At 39.1% G+C, this 25,252-nt stretch overlaps 1 long non-coding RNA gene and 1 pseudogene across 2 annotated transcripts in view; one reads left to right on the forward strand and one right to left on the reverse strand.

Moving 5' to 3' along the window:
• LOC105378849 (uncharacterized) overlaps window positions 1-25,252 on the forward strand; it is a 65,806-nt gene that overhangs the window by 22,259 nt on the left and 18,295 nt on the right. For both annotated transcript variants that reach the window (XR_007066216.1, XR_947588.4), the window contains exon 2: window positions 22,999-23,051. This is a non-coding gene — a long non-coding RNA (uncharacterized LOC105378849). The remainder of the gene's footprint in view (window positions 1-22,998; window positions 23,052-25,252) is intronic.
• On the reverse strand, window positions 11,773-11,876 carry RNU6-695P (RNA, U6 small nuclear 695, pseudogene; annotated as a pseudogene).

Raw genomic sequence — 25,252 nt, forward strand, 5'->3', positions numbered from 1 at the left:
AAAAAAAAAAAAAAAAAAAAAAAAAAACGAAAGAAGAGGAAAGAAAAATTCTTTGGGGCTCTACTTCTTTTTATATTATTTACATTCCTTGAAATGCCCTTGAAATTTCATTTGCTAAGGGAAGCTAAACAAATAATTGCATACTAAAAGGGAAATGAGACTGGCAAGCCAGATAATTTGTAACATCAAACATTCTTATTTCACGGTTGATATTTTCTCTGTGAGGAAACATGAGGAGTAAACAGACTGATTTATCTTAAATGCAATAACTAATAACAATGCCAAATGCATGAAGTGAAAATACCTCGGGATACACTTTCCCAGTTCTGTTCCATCATAGCTGAATGCAATATGCTGTAACAATAATAGGAGTCACGCTTGTCCTATTTCCCCTGATCTCTAAAGAAGGATGCCAATGCAGTAGTAATGCACCTTGCTTCTCTTTGTGGCTACCAACATTTTGTTGTTGTTGTTGTTGGGATCTATTACATACTTTGAAAAATTTCCTCTGAAAACAAACTTGACAGTACTCTGAGGCCAATGTAATGAGACAGACATCAAGACTTCATTTGAAATTGATCATGACCACCAACAGAAGGAGTGGGTAAACTTATCAGGTGTTATTTAGAATTCATAGCATTGTTCTCTGTGGGAAGCCAGAAAGGCAGTGTGGGGATGAAACTTAATTTCTCTGACATGACATTCATTGTCTTCAAATCCACTGTCAGTAGAGTTTGCATGGTGAGACACAATTCTCATTGACTACTAACTGAGAAATGACTTGAAAATGAGGTATATAGTAATTTAAATGAGTAGATTTGAATTAGGGAACAGAGTCAGGTCCAATTTCAGCTTAGTGGACTGACTATATTTCTGTTTTCAATTAGATTTCTCCTAAGAAGGAACTATATTTTAACTCTCAAACTTCATGGTAAAATTGGGGTTCTGAGTGCTAAAAAGAATATTAAGAAACGGGTCAATCTACTTCTGGATATTGACATCTGGTCCTAAATTCCTATTCTAATCAGAAAATAGAAGAGTTTTAGAGGTGGAAAAGATAGAAAAACTGGGACAGAGAAAGGAGGGGTAGGAGAGTTATAAGGTTGCCAGGCCACTAGGCCTCCAAGCCTCTTCCTAGACCCAAACCTTTTTTTTCCAATTGGGTCTTGGGACTCTGTTGCTTCACTCTCCTTTGTCACTTTTATCACCCACTATGTACAGATTGTACACTTTCTTTCCAAAATTCACACCTCTGGTTAATTATTTTCACACTTACCTCCTCATATCCATTGGCCAACTTTCCCTGGTGCCCCTTCCTTTTGTGCCATCAGAGACAAGCCCATACATTCTTTATATTTTAAGGGCTCTACTGCTACTCCTTGCTGGAAATCATGGGCATAACATGACTATAATAAAAGAGTGTACCTTAGAAATGTTTATAAGACTGTCAACCTAAAATAACAACAGAGAGAGTGGTTCTCAAAATAAATGAGTTTATTTCGGAATGAATGACAGGGGATTATAATTTGGGATATGCAGTCTGTGACTAATTATAGTTGCATCTGGAGAGGCTGGAGCAAGAGGAAACTTTTAAAGGCGAAATAAGGAAGGTTACATAATTTGTTTTGAGACAATTACCCTTGTCTACACAGATCAATAACAATGGTGGCACCAGTCCAAGGTTGAATAGGCAGTTGCTGGGCAGATGTCCTCACAGAAGTATTCTTTCGGTAAGGTTGCAGTGGTTTTTGGGCAAGGTTGTGGTTTTCATTGTCCTTGTAATAGGTTTTAGCATAGGTGGGTACGTGACAGCCCCTCCTTTGTGACCTCCCAACTCCATTTTGTTAATGTTTGGCATAAATTACTCCATTTTGATCCTAACAACTTCCAAAGGACCAAAGGGCAAAAGGAATAGAGGAAGAGGATTTTATAGAAAAGAAAGAGGTAGAACTCTAGAGAAACAAAGTTAATTATCTTCCAGGAATTCTTACTTTCTATGAGCACTCTAACTAATGTGGAATACATATGACACATATTATGTTTTAGTCATCAAAGTCCTTTGTAGAGCCCTTAAATAAGAATGTCTGATCAGTATGCAAGAGGTTGTAGAGCTAATGGTTAAGACCTCGGACTCTGGAGCCAAACTGCCTGTATTTTTTTTTTTTTTTTTTTTTTGAGACAGAGTCTCACTTTGTCACCCAGACTGGAGTGCCGGTGGCGCGATCTCAGCTCACTGCAACATCCCCCCAGGCTCAAGCAATCCTCATGCCTCAGCTTCCCAAGTAGCTGGGATTACAGGCATGCGCCATCATGCCCGGCTGATTTTTTATATTTTTAGTAGAGTTGGGAGTTCGCCATGTTGGCCAGGATGGTCTCCAACTCCTGGCCTCAGGTGATCTACCCACCTTTGCCTCCCAAACTGCTGGGATTACAGGTGTGAGCCACCACGCCCAGCCCCAAACTGCCTGTATTTGAACCTGGTTCTGCCACATAGTGATCTTAGTAGATGTCTCTTCATCTAAAGTATTGGGGCTAACAATACTGCCCAACTGAAAGGATTAAATGAGTTTGTATTACAGCTTAGAACAGTGCCTGGCCTGAAGTAAGCATCATGTAGGTATTTGCTGTTATTATTACTCTTTTTAAAGATATTATATGGATTTCTAGAGAAGGAAGGTTTGTCTCTACTTGGACTTTGTTGTTCAGCTCCTTACATATCCTAGTCGTTGTGGTGACTGGACTCTTGCCAGAATCCTAGCTTGAGTTTCAAATTGCTCTTGGCCACCCCAATCTATGTTAGATTTTATTTTCTTCAGTAACTTATTTGGATCTTTCAGCAGGTTCTGGTAGAGCCCAATTACATGAGATGATTTGCATAAATGAGACTAAAACAAAAGTTGAGCAAACTTGCAGATCTGCCATAGGGCCTCACTAGTGGACCTTGGTCTGTAGTTCCTGCCTCCCATTAAGAGACTGATTAGGAACCTCCACTGAGCACATCGGGCTCCAATTTCCATCTAATGCAGACTGTGTGGAAGGCCAGTGGACTTTTCCTTCATCACGGCCCCTCTTCCCACTATGGGTCTTGGAGAAAGGAGGTTGCCAATATAGCTCCTACTTTTTATGTGTTCTAAGCTTTTCCTCCATTAACCCAAAAACAACCTATTAAAGCCGAAGCTACAAAGGTCATGGAGGTGCTTTCCTATCTTAGCAAATACAACCTGACCTATGAGGATTTTACTCATTTTCCTTTCAGTTAAGCTGTAACTTGAAAAGATTTAAAAAAATTATACAGCATTTTATGTGCCTTTTTCTGGAAAGATTTTGACACATTATTGAAATGAAAGTCTTAGTTCCTGAATTTTCAATTAGCAATCACATTATTAGCTTTTTCTCATAAAAATAAACATAATTCAGCCAGGTGCGGTGGCTCTCACCTGTAATCCCAGCACTTTGGGAGGCCGAGGCGGGTGGATCACAAGGTTAGGAGATCAAGACCATCCTGGCTAAGAAATGGTGAAACCCCATCTCTACTAAAAATACAAAAAAATTAGCTGGACATGGTGACGGGCACCTGTAGTCCCAGCTACTCGGGAGACTGAGGCAGAAGAACAGCGTGAACCCAAGAGGCGGAGCTTGCAGTGAGCCGAGATCACACCACTGCACTCCAGGCTGGGTGACAGTGCGAGACTCTGTCTCAAAATAAATAAATAAATATAAATAAAATAAAATAAACATGATTCTAAAAAAATTGCTTATTATTTCACTTATAGCTTTCCCATAGTATTAGAAGTTTGATGTGCTAGTCCCTCCAGTAGAAAACAGGCAAAAGTAGCCACGTAGGGAACAAAGCACCATATCAATTAGGTCCTATAAGTCCCAGAATTCAGAAGTATCTGGAGAAGTTAGCTTTAAGAGAGAGACTGGGATCTGAGACCTTCCATTTTCCTGGTATTGGATGCTTCTGTTGGAATAACTGAGTTTGTAAGGTGAATTTCAAGATGCTCAACTAGGCACCTGCACGGAAGTTTTAGGTAGGCCTGCCTCATAAATCCATCAATGGTAGAATGGAGAATCAGAGAGAGTGCAGGTCTTCATTCTGATATAGATCATACACGTATCATAAAGAAACAGAGAGGAAGTCTGGTCTTTTCCTAAGAAACTGAGTGTAAGAAAGAATGGAAAATGTTTCCTGTCAACCCAACTATGTGGCACATGACTAATAGATATGACAGTCTCTGAAATTTCTTTTTGGGAAAGGAACAAATAAGGAGTGAAGGAATTGTTTAATATGTTTTCCTTGCCAGTACTTCCCAAATGGGGAGATGAACAGAAGTAATCTGGGCTATAAGGTGAAATGAGAGCATGGAGATAGCAATAGTGTTGCTCCCTACCCATAATTTATTTAACCGTTTTTTTATTGTCAGACATTTAGGTTATTTCCAATTGTTTATACTATAGTGAACATATTTGCACATACTTCTTTGATCACATCTTGGATTATTTACTTAGGGTAGGCTTCTAATGTGGACTCAGGGTTCCATGAGAAGAGCAGAGTAAAGGCTCTTGTGTATACTACGGAAGTGTATTTCACAATGGTGCAACACTGATTCATACTCAACCAAAGTGGTGTTACCACACTGTGCCAGCACTGAGAATAACAATTAAGGAAGATTTCAACAAAGAGATCAATAAATAATGGCATTTAATTGTTTTAACTTATATTTCTTTTATTACAAGCAATGGTGTATAATTTTCATCTTTATAGGACATTTATATTGCTTGTTTGTGTCCTCTGCTTATTTTTTGGTGCATTGGTGTTTTTTTTCTTGTTATAAGATAAATTTTATGTTATAAGAGGACAACAGTTTTCCATATTTGCTGCAAGTATGGTTCCCCAGTTAGCTCTCTGCCTTTCCATTGTTTTTAGAGTAGTGTGGTAGATATTGCTATTTTCTACCTAAATTTGTTCTCTTTTTCCTATAGTTAATTATAGCTAAGCATGTGGCTACCTAACTAGGGACAACCTGTTCCAACCCTTCTTGTAGTTAAATGGAGCCATGCAATGTTTTGGCAATGCAATGTAAGCAGAAGTAATGGCTACCATTTTCTGACTAGATCAGTGGAGTAGAAGTGCTTACTTCATACTCTTCCTTCTGCACTTTTACCAGCTGGAAACCCAGAGGAGGTACTGGCCCAGCTTTGACCATATAGGCAAAAAGAGTGCCCTAGGAGATAGCAGAGCAAGAAATTGGAAAGAACCTGGGTGATCGTAAATGGCACACCCTAGACTCTTGGGTAAGAGCACATAAACTGCTTGTTCTTTAAACCATCTGCTATAGACTAATGTGTTCTCTTGAAATTCATATGTTGAAATCCTAACCTTTAATGGTGTTGAGAGGTAAGGCCTTTGGTAAGTGAATGGGTTATGAGGGTAGAACCCTCATAAATAAGATTAATGCCTTGATAAAAGAAGTCCCAGAGAGAGCTTCCTTGCCTCTTCTACCCATGTGAGGTTACAGCGAGAAGATAACTGCCTGTGAACTAGAAAAGTGGGCCTTCACCAGCCACCAAATCTGCCAGCTCCTTACTCTTGGACTTCCAAGCTTCTATAAAAGTAAGAAATAAACTTCTGTTGTATACAAGCCATACAGTTTATGATATTCTGTTAGAGCAGCAAGAGTGGACTAAGACACTATCATGTTGTTGACACTTTGTTACAGTAGCCTATATTTACCCTAATGTCTTTTGTCAAACAGAGGTTAGCTTTTTTTTTTTCTTTCTTTTTTTTAAAAAAATATAGAATGGGCTCATTCCAAGATGGCTGAATAGGAACAGCTGTGGTCTGCAGCTCCCAGCATGATCGATGCAGAAGATGGGTGATTTTTGCATTTCCAACTGAGCTCTGAAAAGAGCAGTGGTTCTCCCAGCACAGGATTTGAGCTCTGAGAATGGACAGACTGCCTCCTCAAGTGGGTCCCTGACCCCCGTGTAGCCTAACTGGGAGACACCTCTCAGTAGGGGCCGACTGACACCTCATGCAGCTGGGTGCCCCTCTGAGACGAAGCTTCCAGAGGAAGGATCAGGCAGCAATATTTGCTGTTCTGCAATATTTGCTGTTCTGCAGCCTCTGCTGGTGATACCCAGGCAAACAGGGTCTGGAATGGACCTCCAGCAAACTCCAACTGACCTGCAGCTGAGGGACCTGACTGTTAGAAGGAAAACTAGCAAACAGAAAGGAATAGCATCAACATCAACAAAAAGGACATCCACACCAAAACCCCATCTGTAGGTCACCAACATCAAAGACCAAAGGTAGATAAAACCAAAAAGATGGGGAGAAACCAGAGCAGAAAAGCTGAAAATTCTAAAAACCAGAGCACCTCTTCTCCTCCTAAGGATCGCAGCTCCTTGCCAGGAATAGAACACAACTGGACGGAGAATGAGTTTGATGAGTTGACACAAGTAGGCTTCAGAAGACTGGTAATAACAAACTTCTCCGAGCTAAAGGAGCATGTCCTAACCCTTCGCTAGGAAACTAAAAACCTTGAAAAAAGTTGAAGAATGGCTAACAAGAATAAACAGTGTAGAGAAGACCATAAATGACCTGATGGAGCTGAAAACCATGGCACAAGAACTTTGTGACGCACGCACAAGCTTCAATAGCCGATCTGATCAAGCGGAAGAAAGGATATCAGCAATTGAAGATCAAATTAATGAAAAAGAGCAAGAAGAGAAGTTTAGAGAAAAAAGAGCAAAAAGAAATGAACAAAGCCTCCAAGAAATATGGGACTATGTGAAAAAAACAAATCTATGTTTGATTGGTGTACCTGAAAGTGACGGGGAGAATGGAACCAAGTTGGAAAACACTCTTCAGGATATTGTCCGGGAGAACTTCCCCAACCTAGCAAGGCAGGCCAACATTCAAATTCAGGAAATACAGAGAATGCCACAAAGATACTCCTTGAGAAGAGTAACCCCAAGACACATAATTGTCAGATTCACAAAGGTTGAAATGAAGGAAAAAATGTTAAGGGCAGCCAGAGAGAAAGGTTGGGTTACCCACAAAGGGAAGCCCATCAGACTAACAGCGGATGTCTTGGCAGAAGCCCTACAAGCCAGAAGAGAATGGGGACCAATATTCAACATTCTTAAAGCAAAGAATTTTCAACCCAGAATTTCATATCCAGCCAAACTAAGCTTTATAAGTGAATGAGAAATAAAATCCTTTACAGACAAGCAAATGCTGAGAGATTTTGTCACCACAGGCCTGCCTTACAAGAGCTCCTGAAGGAAGCACTAAACATGGAAAGAAACAACCGGTACCAGCCGCTGCAAAAAAAATGCCAAATTGTAAAGACCATCAATGCTGTGAAGAAACTGCATCAACTAACGAGCAAAATAACCAGCTAACATCATAATGACAGGATCAAATTCACACATAACAATATTAACCTTAAATGTAAATGGGTTAAACTCCCCAATTAAAAGACACAGACTGGCAAATTGGATAAAGCGTCAAGACCCATCAGTGTGCTGAATTCAGGAGACCCATCTCACGTGCAGAGACACACATAGGCTCAAAATAAAGGGATGGAGGAAGATCTACCAAGCAAATGGAAAGCAAAAAAAAGCAGGGGTTTTAATCTTAGTCTCTGATAAAACAGACTTTAAACCAACAAAGATCAAAAGAGACAAAGAAGGTCATTACATAATGGTAAAGGGATCCATTCAACAAGAAGAGTTAACTATCCTGAATATGTATACACCCAATACAGGAGCACCCAGATTCATAAAGCAAGTCCTTAGAGACCTACAAAGAGACTTAGACTCCCACACAATAATAATGGGAGACTTTAACACCCCACTGTCAATATTAGACAGATCAGTGAGACAGAAGGTTAACAAGGATATCCAGGACTTGAACTCAGCTCTGCCCCAATAGCAGACCTAATAGGCATCTACAGAACTCTCCACCCCAAATCAACAGAGTATACATTTTTCTCAGCACCACATTGCGCTTATTCCAAAACTGACCACATAGTTGAAAGTAAAGCACTCCTCAGCAAATGTCAAAGAACAGAAATCACAACAAACTGTCTCTCAGACCACAGTGCAATGAAATTAGAACTCAGGATTAAGAAACTCACTCAAAACTGCACAACTACATGGAACGTGAACAACCTGCTCCTGAATGGCTACTGGGTAAATAACAAATTAAAGGGAGAAATAAAGATATTATTTGAAACCAGTGAGAACAAAGACATAACATACCGGAATCTCTGGGACATATTTAAAGCAGTGTGTAGAGGGAAATTTATAGCACTAAATGCCCACAAGAGAAAGCAGGAATATCTAAAATCGACACCCTAATTTCACAATTAAGAGAACTAGAGAAGCAAGGGCAAACAAATTCAAAAGCTAGCAGAAGACAAGAAATAACTAAGATCGGAGCAGAAGTAAAGGAGATAGAGACATAAACAAAAAACCCTTCAAAAAATCACTGAATCCAGGAGCTGGTTTTTTGAAAAGATCAACAAAATTGATAGACCACTAGCAAGATTAATAAAGAAAAAAAGAGAGAAGAATCAAATAGATGCAATAAAAAATGATAAAGGGGATATCATCACCGATCCCACAGAAATATAAACTACCATCAGAGAACACTATAAACACCTCTACACAAATAAACTAGAAAATCTAGAAGAAATGGATAAATTCCTGGAAACATACACCCTCCCAAGACTAAACCAGGAAGAAGTTGAATCTCTGAATAGGCCAATAACAGGCTCTGAAATTGAGGTAATAATTAATAGCCTACCAACCAAAAAAAGCCCAGGACCAGATGGATTCACAGCAAAATTCTACCAGAGGTACAAAGAGGAGCTGGTACTATTCCTTCGGAAACTATTCCAATAAATAGAAAAAGAGGAAATCCTCCCTACCTCATTTTATGAGGCCAGCATCATCCTGATACCAAAGGTTGGCAGAGACACAACCAAAAAAAAGAGAATTTTAGACCAATATTCCTGATGAGCATTGACGCGAAAATCCTCAGTAAAATACAGGCAAACTGAATCCAGCAACACATCAAAAAGCTTATCCACCAATATCAAGTTGGCTTCATCCCTGGGATGCAAGGCTGATTCAACATATACAAAGCAATAAACGTAATCCATCGCATAAACAGAACCAATGACAAAAACCACATGATTATCTCAATAGATGCAGAAAAGGCCTTTGACAAAATTCAACATCCCTTCATGCTAAAAACTCTCAATAAACTAAGCACTGATGGAATGTATCTCAAAATAATAAGAGCTATTTATGAAAACCCACAGCCAATATCATACTGAATGGGCAAAAACTGGAAGCATTCCCTTTGAAAACTGGCACAAGACAGGGATGCCCTCTCTCACCACTCCTATTCAACATAGTGTTGGATGTTCCAGCCATGGCAATCAGGCAAAAAAAAAGAAATAAAGGGTATTCAATTAGAAAAAGAGGAAGTCAAATTATGCCTGTTTGCAGATGACATGATCGTATATTTAGAAAACTGCATCATCTCAGCCCAAAATCTCCTTAAGCTGATAAGCAACTTCAGCAAAGTCTCAGGATACAAAATCAATGTGCAAAAATCACAAGCATTCGTATACACCAATAAGAGACAGAGAGCCAAATCATGAGTGAACTCCCATTCACAATTGCTACAAAGAGAATAAAATACCTAGGAATCCAACTTACAAGAGATGTGAAGGACCTCTTCAAGGATAACTACAAACCACTGCTCAAGGAAATAAGAGAGGATACAAACAAATGGAAAAACATTCCATGCTCATGGGTAGGAGAATCAATATCGTGAAAAAGGCCATACTGCCCAAAGTAATTTATAGATTCAGTGCCATCCCTATCAAACTACCATTGACTTTCTTCACAGAATTAGAAAGAACTACTTTAAATTTCATATGGAACCAAAAAAGAGCATGTATAGCCAATACAATCCTAAGCAAAAAGAACAAAGCTGGAGACATCATGCTACCTGACTGCAAACTATACTGCAAGTCCACAGTAACTAAAACAGCATGGTACTTGTACCAAAACAGATACATAGACCAACGGAACAGAACAGAGGCCTCAGAAATAACAACACACATCTACAACCATCTGATCTTTGACAAACCTGACAAAAACAAGAAATGGGGAAAGGATTCCCTATTTAATAAATGGTGCTGGGAAAACTGGCTAGCCATATGTAGAAAGCTGAAACTGGAACCCTTCCTTACACCTACACAAAAATTAATTCAAGATGGATTAAAGACTTAAATGTTAGACCTAAAACTGTAAAAACCCTAGGATAAAACCTAGGCAATACCATTCAGGACACAGGCATGGGCAGTGACTTCATGACTAAAACACCAAAAGCAATGGCAACAAAAGCCAAAATGGACAAATGAGATCTAATTAAACTAAAGAGCTTCTGCACAGAAAAAGAAACTACCATCAGAGTGAACAGGCAACCTAAAGAATGGGAGAAAATTTTTGCAATCTACCCATCTGACAAAGGGCTAATATCCAGAATCTACAAGGAACTTAAACAAATTTGCAAGAAAAAAACAACCCCATCAAAAAGTGGTGAAGGATATGAACAGACACTTCTCAAAAGAAGGCATTTATGTGGCCAAAAAACGTATGAAAAAAGCTAATCATCACTGGTCATTAGGGAAATGCAAATCAAAACCGCAGTGAGATACCATCTCATGCCAGTTAGAATGGAATGGTGATCATTAAAAAGTCAGGAAACAACAGATGCTGGAGAGGATGTGGAGAAATAGGAATGCTTTTACACTGTTGGTGGGGGTGTAAATTAGTTCAGCCATTGTGGAAGACAGTGTGGCGATTCCTCAAGAATCTAGAACCAGAAATACCATTTGACCCAGCAATCCTATTACTGGGTTTATACCCAAAGGATTATAAATCATTCTACTATAAAGACACATGCACATGTATGTTCATTGCAGTGCTGTTCACAATAGCAAAGACTTGGAACCAACCAAAATGCCTATCAATGATAGACTGGATAAAGAAAATGTGGCATATATATACCATGGAATACTATGCAGCCATAAAAAAGAATGAGTTCGGCCCGGCGCGATGGCTCACGCCTGTAATCCCAGCACTTTGGGAGGCTGAGCTGGGCAGATCACGAGGTCAGGAGATCGAGACCATCCTGGCTAACACAGTGAAACCCCATCTCTACTAAAAATACAAAAAATTAGCCGGGCATGGTGGCGGGTGCCTGTAGTCCCTGCTACTCCGGAGGCTGAGGCAGGAGAATTGCGTGAACCCGGGAGGCGGAGCTTGCAGTGAGCGGAGATCGCGCCACTGCACTGCCGCCTGGGCGACAGAGCCAGACTCCGTCTCAAAAAAAAAAAAGGCTGAGTTCATGTCCTTTGCAGGGACATGGATGAAGCTGGAAACCATCATTCTCAGCAAATTAACACAGGAACAGAAAGCCAAACACCGCATGTTCTCACTCATAAGTGTGAGTTGAACAACCAGAATATACGGGCACAGGGAGGAGAACATCACACACTGGGACCTGTGGGGGGCTGGAGTGGTAGGGGAGGGATAGCATTAGGGACAGCATTAGGAGAAATGCCTAATGTAGATGACGGTTTGATGGGTGCAGCAAACCACCGTGGCACTTGAATACTGATGTAACAAACACGTGCGTTCTGCACATGTATCCCAGAACTTAAAGTATATATACATGTATATGTAGAATACTTCACAAATGTGCGTCTCATCCTTGTGCAGGGGATGTACTAATCTCTTTGTTGTTCTAATTTCAGTATATGTGCTGCCGAAGACAGCACTAGCTTTTTTAAAAAAAACTAATAAACTATTTCTTTATGATATTTTGTGTTACTTTTATGTGGAAAATTCTTCCTCAATCCAAGATCTTATAAGTATGTATCAATTTGTCTAGCTTTTTTTGGTATAATTTATGGTATAATTTAACAATTATAGTTCTTTAATTCATTTGGAATTGGTTTTGGTGTAATATGAGGTGAAGTGGCACACATTTTTTTCAAAAATTTTACCTCATGTTTTAACATCAATTATTGAATAATCTCTTTTCTTCATGGATTTATGATGTCTCACTATGTACTTATAAAATTATTATTTTAAAAATATCATTCTCTTGCATGTATTAGCTTTTTTCATAATTGTACAACTAATAAAATGCTTTAATTATTGTAACTTAATACTGTAGTTTGGTAGGTCAATTTTTTTTCTTTGAACTTGTTTTTCTTTGCTATTTTTTGCACATTTTCTTACATAAATTCAAAATCATTTTGTCAAGTTCTTGCTCTTTCCACTGCAGACCAAACATAAGTCCCACTAGAATTTTGATTATTATTGCATTAAAACCCCTATATTAATTTGTGCATAATTGATATTTTTACAGTAGTGAATCTTCTTAGTCAATAATATAACATGCCATTCCATTTATTTTTTATAACTCAATAAAGCTCTATAGTTTTCCTCATACTACTCTATAAATTAATTTGTTGTTAATATAAAAATATATTAAGTAAAGTATATAATTATTGTTTCTAAGATTAATGGTATCTTTTCCTGTTATGGTTTCTACATAGCTATTCTGATATATTAGAAAGCTTTGCTTATTGAATGTCCATCTTGTATGTAGGCTATTTAGTAACTTCACTTAGTGCTCAGCTTATTTTCAGCTGATGTTTTTTATACATTTCTTCTGTGTGTGATGGAGTCCCTCAAGTGAATTCCTCACAACCAATGACTTGATTTTATTCAGTGGCAATTCTGCTCTTTACTGCTTCTAATGCAGATCTTACTTCTTCTACTTTGCCTTTAATTTCTTTAGAATCTTCATGATCCAAGCCAGATCCTTTTCATCTTAGTCTTTTAGGGTTAACTGCTTTATTGAAAGTAGTGTTTTAGGTTATTTCTTAATTTTTAAATAAATTTTAAAAGGAAAATGATTGTAAACAACTTTTTACAGTCTTTCTTATAATACAGTGATAGGAATCATAGTCTTCCTATAGGAATCTGTATTACAATATGGTTTGTTTCAATTTAATGCTTTCTTATGTAATCTAAGTCTGACAAGATTTTTCTTCAGCTTATGTTTATTTTTATGACTGCTTAATAAATAGCACCCTTGTTTTATTTTTGCCCTCTGGGTAGGCTAGGCATTTTGCTTTGGTAACTTTCATTCTACCAACTGTGTCAGTCAGGGTTCCAGCTGGAAACAGATGGTACACTCCAATTTGGTAATTTGAAAGACACTCTAATAAAAAGACTATTTACAAGGATGTGGATGAGGAGCAGGGAGAACTCACAAGGGATAATGCCAGACTCCAGAGCTAGGGAACCTCAGGTCTCAATGAGTGAGGAAGAAAGTGGTTAGCAAAACCCAGGGAAGGAGAGAGAGCTGTGTAGAGAGGCCTTTTAATTGAGGCTGTGCCAGTGGTTGAGGGACACTCCTATAGAGCAGGAAATGAGTTTGGGAGTAAATAACCAGATCCTATCACCAGATCCTATCTCCAGATCTCCTTCTAGTATTCCCCATTGACCAAATTCAACCACAAGTTAGAGGACAAAGGATTCTTGTCCTCCATCAAACCCCACAGGTCAGCCCTGGGACCTAGAACAGAGTGCAGAAGGGTGTATCTGGAAGGGTAGGCAAGTGACAGTACATTAATCAAAGAGTCCTTACCTTTTCATTAGTTTAAACATTATTCTCCACTCACTGGCTAAACCTCATTTTGGTGAGTACTCTGGATGGAGACCACCCAAGGTCAAGTGTGCATTTCCAGAGGAAAAGAGCCTAGAAGGCTGATTCTTAGGAGGTAGTTGAATGGAACAAAATATCTTTGGGGATTGCAGAAAAGATGGATAGGTAGCACAAATAAGTATGGAACCACTCTCTAGGTAGGCCTAGAAAGCTTCCGCAATGTGGTCCCATACCAGAGCAGTAGTCTAGTTAAAAGATTATGGTTCCAATAAAAATTCAAAGCTTCTCTTGTATATTTCAGTCATTGAAATAAGTTCAAGTACATAGACCAATGCAAGGTATGGTAATATCACCCATTGTCTTCCATTGTTTTGCCCAAAAAAAACTTGCAGAAATTTCTCACTTAGTCCAAAAAAATACTTTCCTTTTGCCCCTACATTAGTCCTTTTGCCACCTCTTTTCTCCAGGCTCCCCCTCCTGCACAATGCCTCCCAATATGCCACATTTCCTTCACCATACAGCCCCTTGGGGCATCATATGGTTTCTTTTATTCTTATTGATTTTCTCTGTAGATTCTTCCGGTATAACTTCTACCTCTCCTTTTCTCAGAACACTAGGGAATGGAGATCAGGTAAACAGGCAAGACCCAAAACCTCTGAGACAGGCAGAAGAAGGAGGCAAGTTGTGAAAACATCTTGCCTTCTCTTCTCCTCTCTGCGTTCCTCTTTTCCCCTTATTAGGAAGGTAGAGAAAGGATTATGAAAAGGCTATCTACTAATCTGAATTCTTTTGCCAGATTTTCCCCATGGTGTGTACGGCACTTTGGAATCCCACAGAGGGAAGCACATTCACAGGGAAGCTGCTGTTACTATTATATGTGCATGGTAAAGCTTGGCATCCCTGGAGAATAAGCCTGCAAGGGTGTGTGAGTGCCTCCCCACAGAAGATTTTAAAAGCCTAATTATTCCCTTTGAGTGAGGTGTGTACATCTGGAAATTTTCTTTGTCAGGAAAAAGGAGCAGCCAGTGAGAGGGGCCATGGTCTTGACTGTGGGTGAGTAGGTAGTTGTACCTGCCGCTCATGATGCCTGGTGGTCACCCCAGGAGCCCCATCTTGGGCTGTTCCCATGTGGTACTGTGCGGACTCTGAGTGTGCTATTTCCTGTGGTTTTTCAAGGGATATGTGTAGCTGCAGCATTATGTCTGTCCTGGCCTGCCAACCTGATTTCACGGAGTTTTGGAAAAACAGTCCCCTCAGGGAAGTCCATGGTTGTTTTGACATTTGGGATAGAAAATATTTGCCATGTAACCTTTACATTAAAGGACCCATAGGTAGGGACAAACAAAGAGCATATTTACTTGTCTCCATGTGAGCATTTGGGATGTTGCTCAAAGTCAATTTTTTAAATGGAAAAAGAACAAGGGAGGAATGTAGGGGAAGAGAGAGAGGAGACGAAAGATGAGAAGATACAAATTAGAATGTTCACATCAAGACTTTCATCTGCTGATATATATTTCCTGCTTTGAATTTGGGCCCAGGCAATACTTATTCAGTATGAAAATATGCATTAGCATTGGCCAAGAGCTTTCTTTCTTGAAGATCTCTGCTGAGGCTGGGAAGTTGAAGAGGGGAGTTGGAATCGGAACAGTTTAGATTGTAGTGGAAATGCTCACCTGTTTGCCATTTAGTTTTGCCCTCTTTGAGCATTCACAAGCAGAACCTCCATCATGAAACCAGTGTTTTTTGATACTGAAGAGATGAGGTTGGGCAATGGTAGGAGGGTTACTCACTTCTAGAAGACTTGTAAGGTAAGACAGAGCACCTTTGAATGGGCATATGACATGACAGTTTTTCCCCTACCAGCTTCCCCACTAGCTTCTACATTTCTTGAGCATACACTATTTTGTTGATCTTTGCATCCCCCACACAACATTAAGCATCTTTAGGAAGAAGGCACATAAGGAGCTTTTGCTGAGTGACAGAATCTATAAAAGAAACATGTCATCCAAATAGGAAGCAAGACAACTTCTTCATGGCTCCTTGGTCACTCTACATTTTGGCAGAAGGATCTAGAAAGGCAGGAATTGGAGACCGCAATTAGAGACCACCACCGCTTTCTTATATTTGTGTTCTCAGAGTTGGTCTGGGTTTAGAGGAAAAAGTGAAAGCTGAGGAGAAGCTCTCTAACTTCTGCACTCCTCGCGACTCCACTTTCATCTGTTTATTTTTCATAGTTCTGCACAATATTTATAAAAACAACAATCACCCCTGCCCCCAAACTTTGGGACTTCTGTTTAAACATGGCAGATTGACCATATGTATTTCTCTTCTCTTCCACTTGAATTTCTCTATTAATAAAATATGCAAAGAACAAAAACAAAATTTCATAAACCCACGGGGACAAAGAAGCAGGAAGGGAGAAACAAGCAGACAAGAGGAGGCTAAGACATTTCTGGAAGATAGGAAGTCAGTGGAGGGGGTGAATGATTCAGCAGGGCAGAGGAAGTTAAAGCACAAGTGCTAACAGTATTAACAACAAATGAGTGAATTTATCCGACAAAACCCTAGAAAAAATCAGAATTGGACACCAGCTGTCACATAATGGGGTGAAAAAATCAGATGAAGCAGAAATCAGGAGAATTCCTGGAAGCTTAGTACATGGAGCATTTGGACCCCTAGACCCCCTGCCCAGTCCAATACAGCCCAGGTCTACACTGTCTCTTTTTCCTCCCTCCACCGCCTCTATTCACCACAGAGGGCAGGGATTTAATCTCTGGAAAAGTGTAACCAGGGAGGCTCTGGGGTGGGGCATATGGCCACACGGGAGGGCAAAAGATGAGGTGCAGAGTCAGAAGACAGGGGTATTGAGTGATGGTATATTGACTGGTAGGGATCTTGGCATCCTTTCCCTGCCCTGCTCACAGATTAGATGTACCCAGTCCTATATAGTGTCCAAGGAGGAGTTTGGAGGCCTCTTTTCAGAATCCAAAGAATCCCAAAGAAAAGACCTATGAGTATTGACATTTGTGAATCTTTCAACAAAAAAGCCAGCTCATCACTTACACACTGACAGTAAAGCCCAACAATTGGGGAAAAAAATTTCAAATTCATACAAAATCCATGTAAAGGAATTTTCTGTAATCTTTTTAGTAACTCGTTGTTGAACAAGCATTCACATGCAGAATCTCACACATCTGAGGAAAGATTCCAAAATAAAAGGAAGAGACTAATAATGGAAAACAGAAGATAGAAGTTATGAATTTAGAATATGGGAGGAGTATGTATTCAGACCAACTTGAATCTATGCCTCTGGATTGCAGTCTTCAAAATCTCAATCTCTCTCTAGTCATTTCAAACTAGTGGTTCTCAACCTTGGCTGCACCAGAATCACCTGGGAGCTTTAAAAATACTGATGTCTGGGTCTCTCCTCCAAAGATCCTGTTTTAAATAGCCTGGGGTGAAGCCTTGGTATTAGATTTGTAAAAGCTTCCCAAGTGGTTCTGATGTACATTCAAAGTTTAGACTGCTGCTTTAAGCTTTGAACGTATTTTAAACTGGACTGCAGGATCAAATAACATCTTTTTAGCCTGTGCTCAAGGCTGCCCTCCTTCCCTAGCTTACCTGCCTGACTTCATCTCCCAGGGTTCAGTGTTCAAGCCATGCCCACCCCACACCTCTACCATCCCACACACCTAGGCTCCTTCCCTTCACTTTTGTTCATAGTAGTTATCCCACTTCAAATTCACTCATATTTAATTACTCATATCTGTTTACTGATGCTGAAATCATTATTAAATGTCCAGCTGCAATCCAACCTTGTCATGATTATACTAGCATAAAAGCAAGCTCTTCCATAGCTGACCTTTACCACAACTTACTCCTTGTCTCACTTATTTCATAATGAATGTTTTCATTGTTATTGACATCTAAAGATAGCTGGTAACTCATGTGACCACTAAGGTTTGCCTAACTCCTCAAACCTGAGATTGTCTGAAAATAGCACATTTTTAACAGCTTAGTTTTTTTTTTTTTATCACAAACAGTATTAACATTATCTTCTTTAATCTTCACAGTAACTATGTGGGGTAACTATTAATATCTTCATTTTACATATGAAGAAAGAGTCCCAGAGTGATCATGTGACAAGTGTGGTATTGTCCAGGCAGCAAAAGGCAGAGCTGGGACTTGAACCCAGGTCTTAGGAGTCTGCTTTAATACCAGAATAACACCAGAATAATACCAGAATAACAGAATAAATAATTTTGAGATTTAAGTGGGCAAATGTTTTTGTTTTCCCAACAGAGGCATACCTCATTTTATTGTGCTTCACTTCACTGTGCTTTGCAGATACTGTGTTTTTTACAAACTGAAGGTTTGTGGCAAACCTGCTTTGTCATCTATTGGTGCCATTTTCCCAAAATCCTGTGCTCACTTTGAGTCTTTGTGTCACATTTTGGTAATTCTTGCAATATTTCAAACTTTTTATGCTTACTACCTGTGTTATAGTGATCTGTAATCAGTGATCTTTTATGTTACTGTTGTAATTTTTTGGGGGGACCACGTAAGATGGCAAACCTAATTGGTAAGTGTGTGTGTTCTGACTGCTCCACCAAGCAGCTGTTCCTCTTTCTCTCTCACTCTCCTCAGGCCTCCCTATTCCCCGAGACACAGGAATATTGAAATTAAGCCAGTTAATACAGTTAATAATCCTACAAAGGCCTCTAAGTGTTCCAGTGAAAGGAAGAGTCACATGTTTCTCACTTTCAATCAAAAGCTAGCAATGATTAAGCTCAGTGAGGAAGGCATGTTGAAAATTGAGATAGGCCAAAAGCTAGCTCTCTTGAACCAAACAGTTAGCCAAGTTGTGAATGCAAAAGGAAAGTTCTTGAAGGAAATTAAAAGTGCTATTCCAGGGAACACAGGAATGTTAAGAAAACCAAACAGGCTCACTGTTGATATGAAGAAAGTTTTAGTGATTGGACGGAAAAGCAAACCAACCGGCCAGGCGCAGTGGCTCACGCCTGTAATCCCAGCACTTTTGGAGGCTGAGCGGGGCGGATCATGAGGTCAGGAGTTCGAGATCATCCTGGCCAACATGGTGAAACCCCGTCTCTACTAAAATACAAAAAATTAGCTGGGCGTGGTGGTGCGTGCCTGTAGTCCCAGCTACTCAAGAGGCTGAGGCAGGGGAATCACTTGAACCCGGGAGGCAGAGATTGCAGTCAGCCAAGATCATGCCACTGCACTCCAGCCTGGTGACAGAGTTAGACTCTATCTCAAAAAAAAAAAAAAAAAAAAAAAAAGAAGGAAAATCCAAAAATCAAACCAACCAACCACAGCATTCCCTTAAGTCAAAGCCTAATCCAGAGCAAGGTCCTAACTATCTTCAATTTTGTGAATGGTGAGAGAGGTGAGGAAACTGTAGAAGAAAGTTTGAAGCTAGCAGAGGTTAGTTCATGAGGTTTAAGGAAAAGGAGCCATCTGTGTAACATAAAAGTGCCTGATGAAGCAGCAGTGCTGATGTAGCAGCTGCAGCAAGTTATCCAGAGATCTAGCTAAACTCATTGATGAAGGTGGCTACACTAAACAACAGATTTTCAACGTAGTCAAATCAGCTTTCTATTGGAAGAAGATGTGTCTAAGACTTTCTTAGCTGGAGAGAAGTCAATGCCTGGCTTTAAAGCTTCAAAGAACAGGCTGACTCTCTTGTTAGGGGCTAATGCAGCTGGTGACTTAAAGTTGAGGCCATTTACCATTCTAAAAATCCTAGGGCCCTTTAGAATTATACTTAATCTACTCTGCCTGTGCTCTATACATGGAACAACAAATCTTGGATGACAGCACATCTGTTTACAGCATGGTTTACTGAATATTCTAAGCCCAGAGTTGAGACCTACTGTTCAGAAAAAAAGATTCCTTTCACAATATTACTGTTCATTGACAATGTACCTAGTCAACCAAGAACTCAGATGGAGATGTACAAGGAGATGAATGTTGTTTTCACATCCTTCTGCAAAACAAAGATCAAAGAGTAATTTCAACTTTCAAGTCTTATTAAGAAATACATTTCATGAAGCTATAGCTACCATAGATAGTGATTACTCTAATGGATTTGGGCAAAGTAAATTGAAAACCTTCTGGGAAGGATTCAGCATTCTAGATGTCATTAAGAACATTCATGATTCATGGGAGGAAGTCAAAATATAAACATTAACAGGAGTTTGGAAGAAGTTGATTCCAATTCTCATGGATGACTTTGAGGGGGTCAAGACTTCAGTGGAGGAATAAACTGTAGACATGGTGAAAATAGCAAAAGAACTAGAATTAGAAGTAGATCCTGAAAATCTGACTGAATTGCTGGGATCTCATGATAAAAATTGAACAGAGGAGAAATTGTTTCTTATGGATAAGCAAAGGAAGAGGTTTCTTGAGATAGTGTCTATTCTTGGTGAAGATGTAGTGAACATTGTTAAAATGACAGCAAAGTATTTAGAATATTACATAAATAGTTGATAAAGCAGTAGGATTTGAGAAGATTGACTCCAATTTTGAAAGAAGTTCTACTGTGGGTAAAATGCTATCAAACAACATTGCATGCTACTGTGGAGTTGTTCATGAAAGGAAGTGAATCAATGTGGCATACTTCATTGTTGTATTGTTGTCTTATTTTAATAAATTGCCACAGCCACCCCAACCTTCAGCAACTGCCACCTGACCAGTTAGCAGCCATCAACATTGAGGTAAGACCCTTCACCAGCAAAAAGATTGCAACTTGCTAATGACTCAGATGATTGTTAGCATTTTTAAAACTTTTTTTTAGACATAATGCTATTACACACTTAATAGAATACAGTATGATGGGAACATAACTTTTATACGTACCAGAAAACCAAAAAATTTGTGTGTGATTTGCTTTATTGTGTTGATCTGGAACCAAATCTGCAATATCTCTGAAGTATTCAAAATAATAAGATTAATAAATAAATTAGTAAGTTTAATAAGTAAATTAATAACAAAATAATAAGATTAATAAGTAAATTATAACAAAATAATAAGATTAATAAGTACATTAATTACTTGAGAATGAGAACCCCATAATCTGATTATAGGTACAAATGCAGTGCCTTGCACACTACAGGCACTCCCAAGGTATTTGCTTATTTGATTTTGGTGATGATAATAGGAAATATTTATGCCATTTGTGACAGGTCTTTAAAGAGATTATCTCATTTAATCATCACAAGAACTATGTTGTTGGTACAATTATCATTTAAAAAATCAATAACCAATACTTGAAGATGTGAAGGAACATTCACGAGTTCACACAGCCTGTCAGGGTGGAGCTGAGACTGCAACCCAGAGCTGTCAGAGTCCAGAATCGGAAATGTTTTGCCTTACTTCTCCATACGAAGTTCCTAAGAGGAGCTGTCCATGAAGGTTTCTCAATCCAGATTTACAACCATCATTCTTTAAATTTTCCCAAGACACAGTTGGCATAACCAAGTGTTACTTATCTGGTGGATAGTATTTACCATGGCAGGCTCAGAGGATATTTGAATGCAGACTCATATAAACTAACAAACCCATGTGCCAAGCTTTGTCTGGCAGTACATTCCTGCCTCCTAAGAGTAGCTCAAGTTCAAGAAAAGCAAATCTATCTGTCAGCTGAAACTTTAAATCTTGTGAAAAGGAAAACAAAACAAAACAAAACAAAACCCCACAAACATTTGAAACTTGGCCTCAAAGTTTTAGAAAATAAATGCACACACAGAGTTTTTTTCCTTTTGCCACGTGGCAGTGGTTGTGAAGTAAATATATCCCACTGCACTGATCTTACATCCTGTCACATTAATGTTTCAGAGCACTCAATATAAATATTAAAACTAATAGCTTCACTCTTCAGCTATTACTCCACCATCCCCTGAAATCATCATAAAACTTTCAAAGCCTTTTAGAACATTTACACACTTGAATCTGATGGTGGGGAAAGGAGATTCACACACGCAGCCCATAAGCTTAAATAATAGTGAAGAGCTGTTTATGGAATATGCTTTATTTATTCATCATTTCAAGTAAAGTTTTCATTTTGATGGAGGGGAAAAAATCAAAGTATAGCTGTCAAGGGATAAGGCTGAAGTATTGCTTTTCTATACTGAGGACTTGCAAAAAAAAGAAGTCCATGAGAATCTCAGTCCAAGGTCAATCAATGCTAAGACTGTGGGTACGTAAACAGCTAATGGATTGTAAAGACACATACTGGTGTGATGAATTTTTAAAGAGCAACTCTTCAGCACAGAACCCCATAAATCAATGATGACTTATTGGCTGGATCAATTATGCAAACTTTTTAAAACATTTAATGACAGGTAATGAACAGGTCTCTAGAGAACATCAGTCAACAGTGTTTTTGCAGTTGTAGTTACATCTGCTTAAGTGAATCGGGTGGGGGCAGTCATTCCTAGGAAGTAATTAAAAGTTAAACTAAGAATCTTCCTAAAGCGAAAAAGAGTAACTATTTTAGTCTTCATATATACCTTAAATAGCCAGGGAAATGAGTTGCATCTTAATGTATCCATAGGTAGTCCAGTATCTATGGACTGAGTATGCCAAATAGAAGTTCAGGGAGCTTCTATTCCTAAGCATTTGATTGGAGGTTTTCTGCAGAGCTATCTGAGGAACGAGGGAGAAGATGATTTTTGAAAGAAGTAAAAGTATAGCATGGATATGACACAGATAGATAGGTTCTAATAATTATTTATTTTGAAATTAACTTTAAATAATTAGAGGAACAGACAGGCAATGATGGCTGATACTGTAGAATTCTGCTCAACCAAGAAGTGAAGGACAGAAGGCTGAATGTGGGTGGACTAATCCTGCAGAAAGTCTCACATCATCACATGTGGCATTACAGTGCTTTAATCACATATTAAGATAGTGACCCAGTGAAAGATGAAAGACTTTAGGGGGTAGATTTTTTAACTTAACAGTCTTTTAGAGTTTAAACATTGATCTTTTTTATTGTATAACTTCAAATAAGTCTTTAGATTATGAAAAAGGCAGAAGTTAAACATGCCATTCAATACTAAGCATAGTTCTTTAAGTCTAAGCCACTGACATTGATGCTGTATTTCTGTGTTAACATAGTTAAAGCATCACTCAGATCAGAAAGCCTTCTGACTGAATCTGAAAACACTAAAAATTCTAATATTCCTTTATAGGTCTCACTCATTTTGCTGCTCAGCAGAAGGATTGTAAAAATGAAAAATAAAAAGTAAGTAGATTGTAAAGTGCCCAAGTTCAAATGTCTCTGGCCTGGGATTGTTTTCTGTGTCAGAGAAGCTTCCTAGAATTGTTGCTGGGTTTTCCAGATACTCTCAGTTAAGCAGAAAAAAGGAAGTATCTTTAAACTATTACTGATTTTTGAATATTATTTTCTCAAGAGCCTCTGCTAACTATCAAACTTACTTAAGAAGCTTAAACACTTAATGGTATTAAAAATGCTCCTCATTACTAATCATTAGAGAAATGCAAATCAAAACCACAATGAGCTACCATCTCACACCAGTCAGAATGGCTATTAATAAAAAGTAAAAAAATAACAAATGCCTGTGTGGTTGCAGGAAAAGAGAATGCTTATACACTGCTGATGGGAATGCAAATTAGTCCAGCCATTGTGGAAAGTAGTTTGGTGATTGCTCAAAGAACTTAAAACAGAGCTACCGTTTGACCCAGCAATCCCATTATTGGGTATATACCCCCCAAAACACAAATTGTTCTATTATAAAGACACATGCACGTGTATGTTCATCACAGCACTATTCACAATAGCAAAAACATGGAATCAATCTAAATGCCCATCAGCAGTAGACTAGATAAAGAAAATGTGGTACATATACACTATGGAATACTACATAGTCATAAAAAAGAATGAGATTGGCTGAGCACAGTGGCTCATGCCTGTAATCCTAGCACTTTGGGAGGCCGAGGCGGGCAGATCATGAGGTCAAGAGATTGAGACCATCCTGGCCAACATGTCGGAACCCCATTTCTACTAAAATACAAAAAATTAGCTGGGCGTGGTGGTGTGCACCTGTAGTCCCAGCTACTCGGGAGGCTGAGGCAGGAGAATTGCTTGAACCCAGGAGGCGAAGGTTGCAGTGAGCCGAGATCGCGCCACTGTACTCCAGCCTGGCGACAGAGCGAGACTCCGTCTCAAAGAAAAAAAAATGAATGAGATCACGTCCTTTGCTGCAATATGGATGGAGCTGGAGTCCATTATCCTAAGTAAACTAATGCAGGAATAGAAAACCAAATACTGCATGTTTTCACTTATAAGTAGGAGCTATACATTGAGTACACATGGACACAAAGAAGGGAACAACAGATACTGGGTTCTATTTGAGGGTGGAGTGTAGGAGGAGGATGAAGATGGAAAAACTACTTATTGGGTACTGTGCTTATTACCTGGATGACAAAATAATCTGTACACCAAACCCCTGTGACATGCAATTTATCTATATAACAAACCTGCACACATACCCTGAACCTAATATGAAAGTTAAAATAAAGAAGAAGCTTGAGGGGCTGGGTGCGGTGGCTCATGCCTGTAATCCCAGCAGTTTGGGAGGCCAAGGAAGGCAGATCACCTGAGGTCAGGAGTTCCAGGCCAGCCTGGCCATCATGGTGAAACCCCGTCTCTACTAAAAATACAAAAATTAGCCGGGCGTGGTGGTGCATGCCTGTAACCCCAGCTAGTTGGGAGGCTGAGGCGGGAGAATTGCTTGAACCCTGGAGGCGGAGGTTGCAGTGAGCAGAGACTGTGCCATTGCACTCCAGCCTGGGCAACAGATCAAGACTCCGTCTCACAAAAAAAAAAAAAAAAAAAAAGAAGAAGCTTAAACACTGTGTGTGTACGTGTGTGTGTGTGTGTGTGTGTGTGTGTGTGTGTATGCCTGGTAGAGACAGACTTCCCTGATAATGAAGATCACAAGATAATTTGGCATGTTTTCTATCCCATACCCTGTGATATGTGTTTATCATCATATTCACATTCATGGATGAGTAAAATGAGTGGGATACTCTTGTATCTGGATTCTTTGTTGAAATGTATACATCCTTCTTTGTGTTGATAGAAAAGAATAATCAAAAGCTCAGCATTCAGAGGTAAACAGTTGAGAATCCAAATCCTGACTCTGCTATTTACTGGCCATATGACTGTAGGCAAGTTTCTTAATCTCTTTTGTCCTATATCCTCACCTGTACAATTTCTATCTTGAAGAAAACACGTAGTGTGTAGGTACTCAATAACTGGCAGTCGTTATTATCTGCCAAATCTGAAGCATCCCTGAAACCAATAATTGGAATAGCATCAGGGCAGTAGTTGTTGCAAAATTTGGGGAATTAACATTCTTCCACAAAAGGGAAGGTTGCCTTTTGAAGTAAAAATAGCTGTTAACACCAAGGTCTTTATTA

This window comes from Homo sapiens, chromosome 1, assembly GCF_000001405.40.
Source record: "Homo sapiens chromosome 1, GRCh38.p14 Primary Assembly".
Taxonomy (NCBI): domain Eukaryota; kingdom Metazoa; phylum Chordata; class Mammalia; order Primates; family Hominidae; genus Homo; species Homo sapiens.